Raw genomic sequence first — 6230 nt, 5'->3', positions numbered from 1 at the left:
TGGAAATACCTGTGAAGAATGAGAAAAGTGTTCACTGCTTCAAAGTCAGCTCAGGCCCTGGGAAGTGAAACGTGAGATAAAAACCCAAATCTTTAAAGAGAAAAAAGCCCTGTTGGTTTGCTGAAGACAGAAACAGGTGAGAATGCAGCATGATGACGACAGAGAGCCCGGACCACATCTAGGGACACACTCCACCCACGCCTTCCAGCCCCACCTCAAAGGTGACTGTGAACCCTGCGACGTTGACAACAGCCGCACTGAGGGTGCGGCAATGAGGCTGTGCCCGCCAGCGGCAGTCGGAGGCATGGTGGCCTTGGGGCTCCTCTTTCTCTCCTCCCAATTGTGTGTCATGGTATTTTGGCCTCCAGGCTTTGGCCACTCTCCAGCCATCTCCTCCCTGCTTACAAAAGAACTGGGCTGAGAGGGCAAATTGGGACCAGAAAAGTTTTTTTGGAACTTCTTCTGGCGACAAGCCTAAAAGGCCATTAAAGCTAAAAGCCATGTAATTTTTCTGTTGGGCAAAGAATGGAGTGAGGGTCTGGTTCTACTTAGGAAGTAAGATTTCTGCTTTTGTGGGAAGCCGGTGGTAGAAACAAACCATTTTGTGTTTTCAGTTTTACAATCATTTCCTCTACTCTGCTAGGTGGAATAAATAATTGTGTTCCATTATGATGGAAATAGTCATTTCATTCACATCAGAAAGCCTCTGGCAGCTTGGAAACAACAGACAATAGGCATCCATGCTGGTATCATAAGTACTAACTTTTCCAAGTGTGTATCTTTAAAGAATGTTAAAGAATAAAGACATCCGGTAAAGGTCAAATTCATGTTCTTATTTAAGGACGGTGTTCATTTGACATTTTGGTTGAGGAAAGACAGTTTCTCTGCTACTCAGAGAGGAAGTAAAAGTTGTCTAATGGCAGATGTAGTCGTTGCTGTTAAACAAAGGCCCTGATATTAACTTCGCCTCTGTTCTAAATCACTGGGGGTGGAGGGGACAGCCTGGTCTTTGCCAGATGAATAAAGACAAACGGTCAAGTAAAATAAAGCATCTTCCTCTCCATGAAAAGACAAACACAAAAACTACTTTAAATGAAACAGTTTTTGACAGATGTCTTTTAGCTTTAAAACAAACACATACACAACCTGAAAAAAAAAAGTCTTTTGGAGGAAAAAAGGAAGGAAAATATTGGCAGAACACACTGCAGATCTCAAATTTTGTGCAGACTTGCGAGGAATGAAATGCATGACAAGACGCTGATGTGGGTTTGGACAGCTTGACTTCACTGGTGCTGTACGAAGACAGTGAGAATCATGTAGACTGGCTTAACACCTTAAAGTGCAAAGTCATTGTCAAAAAGGAGTCTTGAATTGGTTTCTACATCTCCTTCTCTAGCCACTTAGTCCCTGGTACAGAGTCATCAAGGTGTCACCGGCTGCTGGGCTTGCGGGGGTCAGGCCTGGCCTGAAGTCCAGCCTCTGATGGCCTTTGGGTGCAAATCTCCACTTGCCCACATAGCAGGCACTGTCAGTCCCACATCAAAATCCTCCTGGCTCTTTCTGCAGCTGTGGGAGCAAGTCAGTTTCTGCTGAGTTTAATTCATCTTCCTCTTACAGAATGTGTTTGGGTCCAGCTAGGAAAGATCAATGCCTCCCCTGTGTGCTTTCGACCAGCAAGGAAATGAGCAGAGATGTTTTCAGTTGTCCGCAGCTCCGACTGTCTCTGGACAGCTCTGTCTTCCTGGCCGTGAGTCTCAGCCACTCCTGCATTCAGACTCCGGCTGGTGTAGGTGGAATTCGATTCAAGAAAAATCACCTGCCCACCTGCCCTCTTCTTGACATGATTATTCCAGCTGAAACATTCTGTTACTTGCAGAGCCCTTATTATAAAGTCTTTACTGTCTATTTGTTGTAAATAACTACCATTTCAAGTTGCCAGAAACATTCTTTTATGTAAGGTGATTGGCATATCTTTCTTTAAACAATGATCTAAAAATTTATTTTACAATTCATGAAAAGAGTAAAGTAGGTAATTATTATTGTAAAAGTAATGAATTTGAATATAATTTTCAAAAATTCATTTTGCCACAATTAAGGGTATATACTCTGCATTTATTGCTGATACATACATAAGAGCTGAGATTCCCCCCCTTCATTAAAGAAAGAAGAATCCAGAAAGCCAGGCATTAACTGAGCAAGCACTTGAGTTATGAGCTCTATCGTGTTTTGGGGGAAAGAGGAAAGAGGCCAAGAATGAAAATATCTCATTGCAGCTAAAAGGAGAGAATCAACTCTTTTGAGTTTTGCTCAAGGAGGTTGCTGTGCTTATCATCACTATGGAAAATATCCTCCATCAGCTTATAAGTAAGTGGGCTGCCAACTCAAACGACACTTTTGTGAATGACTCTTCATGTTTTATTTTATTGGAATTTTGGGGAGGTACAGGCTTTGATCAAATCCAAATACTATTTTCTGACTCCTAACCACCGAAAACTATGAATGTAAATGTATCAAATGAAGCCAGGAGTGGTGGTACACACCTGTAATCCCAGCACTTTGGGAGGCTGAAGTGGGCAGAATGCTTGAGCTCAGGAGTTTGAGACCAGTGTGGGCAACATAGGGAAGCCTCATCTCTACAAAAAATTACCAAAATTAGCCAGGTATGGTGGCACATGCCTGGAGTCCCAGCTACTTGGGAGGCTGAAGTGGGAGAATTGCTTGAGCCCAGGAGGTCAAGGCTGCAGTGAGCCGTGATCACACCACTGCACTCCAGCTTGGGTGTCAGAGTGAGACCCTTTCTCAAAAAAACAAAAAAAAAAGTATCAAATGGAAACTCCACTATGACACGCTTTTATCAATGGGCAGGATGAATAAATATGTCTTTTTAAAAAATTCAATAAATATTTACTGAGCACCCATTGTGGGTGAAACGCTATGGTAGGCATTGGGGGTTTAGCCACAAGCAACGCTGACCCAGTTTCTGTCCCTGTGGAGTTTATAATCTGGTGGAGAATAAATAAGCGATGACAACATTGAGATGAGAAGAGTTACAGGGGCAGAAGCACAAACAAGGGTATCTAACCCAGGTTTAGGGGATCAGGGAAGGCTTCCAGGCAGAAGGGGCCTCTTAGTTGAGACCTGAAGGATAAGTTGGATTTAACCCAGCAAAAGTGGGGATGGAAATGATGAGGAAGAAGCCCAGGCCAAGAGAAAACAGTGTGTGCAAAAGTACAGGGAGGAAAGGAAACCCTGGACACTTGGAGAAATGAAGGTACTGAGGGGTGATTGCAACAGAGAGTCCAAAGGATGGAGGAAAAAGAGGTTAAAATGATAGATATTTTCAAACATCTGAGGGACAGTCATGTGGAAGAAAGATTAGGTTTGCCTGTGCAGCCAGCTGGTTCCGGGGGCCCAGAACCAGAATCAAAGGGTAGAAATCCCAGTGAGGACATTGACTAAAAATTAAATTAAAGTAATGGCTTCCACTGATTTAGCCCTTCAGACATACCAGACACTGTGTTAAAAAGGGTTATACCCATTATATCACTGGATCCTCAAAACAAGCCTGTGAGGTAAATGTTGTTAGAAAACAGATGCAGAGAAGTTAAATGAACCAGCTTAAGGTCATGTCACTGGGATGGACAGAGCTGGGGCTCCAGAGCACCATGACTCAAAAGCTGCAATCGTGCTCTCAGCCGCCACCCTCAAGCTGCTTCCTTGTGAGAATTATGTGGTCACAGAGTAAATGTGTGGCTCTAGAAATTTCCCATCACAGAAGGAGTTTAACCATTTGGCTGGGATGGTGCAGAGGATTTAAATATTAAGGATAATCCGTAGACTTCCGAGGGACTTCCAATTAGGAGATTCAGGGATTCAACGACGTGTCAACGGTGGAATATATAAGACAGCCCTCAAAGAAGACCGCCCTCTCCATGTTGGGCAGTTTGATTGTCATGTGTGTAATGGACAGCTTGCAGAGCCACCCTCCTGGTGTGCCTTGAAGGGAGGCATTCTCAGTCTCCATCCATGCAGAGGAGAGGGATGACCTGAGCACCGCGACGGGGGCGGGGAGGGGCGTAGTGAATTGGACCGAATTAGGGCAGCACAGCCCTCTAATAAAGACACGCATCTTTCACAAACATCTGCTTTCACTAATGTTGGCCTTGGGCAGTATTAAATTATGTATTCAGCTCTTAAACTATCACAGATTCATGTTTCAAAAACATAACTGTGAGAAAATATTGCACTACTAGCAGAAACAAAACGGCTCTGCTAATTTTGCATTAACATTTTTGGGTGCACTTCTATAATAATTCTTCATTTTCTTTCACATTAGAAGACACTGTGGGAGACTACCTAGGTTAGAATGCAAAGGAACTTTTTTTTTCCTGTATGGATTATTGCCAAAAAGAATTAAAAAGAACCGTTTTTGCTCACCATTCAGTGAAGAGGACCCAAATAAATAATAATAAATTATACAATGTGTTAGAGGCAGAGAAATCTTAGTGAACTTTCCCAACTTGTTTTCTAAAATGCTCAGAAATTTATTTTCTAAAAAGCTGCCTTTTATTTACAGAGAGTGTTCCTCTGTATTAGTTCGTTCTCACACTGCTGATAAAGACATACCAGAGACTGGGCAATTTACAAAAGAAAGACACTTAATGGAGTCATAGTTCCACATGGCTGGGGAGGCCTCTCAGTCAAAGAGGAAGGTAAAAGGCACGTCTCACGTAGCGGCAGACAAGAGAAAAGAGAGCTTGTGCAGGGAAACTCCCCATTGTAAAACCATCAGATTTTCTAAGACTTCTTCACTATCACAAGAATAGCATGGAAAAGACCTGCCCCCATGATTTAATTACCTCCCACCAGGTCCCTGCCACAACACGTGGGAATTGTGGGAGTTAAAATTCAAGATGAGATTTGGGTGGGGACACAGCTAAACTATATCATCCTCTAAGAGCTCATATCATTATCTTCTTGATGTGTACACTGGGTAGGCTGGCTCCATCCCTGTCCTAGCATTTTCTTGAAACAGAAAATCACAGCCTGAGGACTTCACCTTTGAATTTTAGAAAGACAAAGGGTTGTTGAGGACAAAGGTGGATTCTCTCTTTGCTCATCAACTCTGATGTACTACCCAGTACTCACAGTCCCTTATTTTCCCCAAGCACTACTGTTTCTCAGGAAGAGGAAGATGTAAGAAGAAATTAGGCAGAGGTAGAGGGGAAAGAAACATGTGGACAATTGCCTGGAAATAAACAACCCTGCAGCAGCATAGAGATAGAATTAAAGTCATTAAAATAAGATGGTCATAATAATATTATATTTTTGGGGACTGTGGCTTGACCTCTTAATGGTTAACAGTGTTGGTGTCCATGACAGCATGGCCAGTGTCTTAATTTTTAAGCCCCGGTTCCTAGCCCACTAGAAATTTCTGAAATGTCTGTAGACTTTGATTTGAGACAGAGTTTCACTCTGTAGCCCAGGCTGGAGTGCAGTGGCACAATCTTGGTTCACTGCAACCTCTGCCTCCCGGGTTCAAGCGATTCTTCTGCCTCAGCCTCCCAAGTAGCTGGGATTACAGGTGCATGCCACTATGCCTAGCTAATTTTTGTATTTTTAGTAGAGACGGGGTTTCACCATGTTGGCCAGGCTAATCTCAAACTCCTTACCTCACGTGATCTGCCCACCTCAGCCTCCCAAAGTGCTGGGATTACAGGTGTGAGCCACCGTGCCCAGCCTGTAGACTTCTTTTCTGAGAACTTGCACATCCCTTTTCTGATCTTCTCCTCCCCACAAAGCTGGGAGGAAATAATTTTTTGAGAAGGAAAACATTTGAGAACTGAGGAGCACTGTCTCATGACTGCCAACCCAAAATCCTAGAACTTCAGAGGCCTAGTCCAAGGGACTTTCTGTGACACCAAATAAATGTGTCTTTTTTCCCTTCCCCATTGTGAATGGAAAGATGCATGCACAGGTTGACAAACAAAAAGTTAGACAGGTTAAACAGATACCAACGTAGACTCTTTCTCCTGGGAAGGGAAAAAGATTACACTGTGCATCTCTCTTTCATAAATAATGCCAGTTTGGCAGGCAGAAAAATAAATCTCTGGTATCAGGAAATGCCAAGAGGTCACACAAGATAGTATGTGCCCATTCCCAGCTTCACCTCATGCTTCTCTTTAGCCTGTCTTCCATTGTCATCTGAAAAAACACAGCTTGATCTTTAG

At 43.2% G+C, this 6230-nt stretch overlaps 1 annotated feature.

Annotated features, from left to right (window-relative positions):
* Nucleotides 365-997: an enhancer, noted in NCBI's record as "NANOG-H3K4me1 hESC enhancer chr10:127202888-127203520 (GRCh37/hg19 assembly coordinates)". NCBI's record gives its function as "activates a minimal SCP1, AML or CMV promoter by ChIP-STARR-seq in primed H9 embryonic stem cells {active_cell/tissue: H9 hESC(primed)}" and the evidence as "EXISTENCE:reporter gene assay evidence [ECO:0000049][PMID:30033119]".

Source organism: Homo sapiens, chromosome 10, assembly GCF_000001405.40.
Source record: "Homo sapiens chromosome 10, GRCh38.p14 Primary Assembly".
Lineage (NCBI taxonomy): Eukaryota > Metazoa > Chordata > Mammalia > Primates > Hominidae > Homo > Homo sapiens.
Note: the sequence above shows the minus strand (reverse complement) of the source record. Positions and strands in the feature narration are given on the sequence as shown.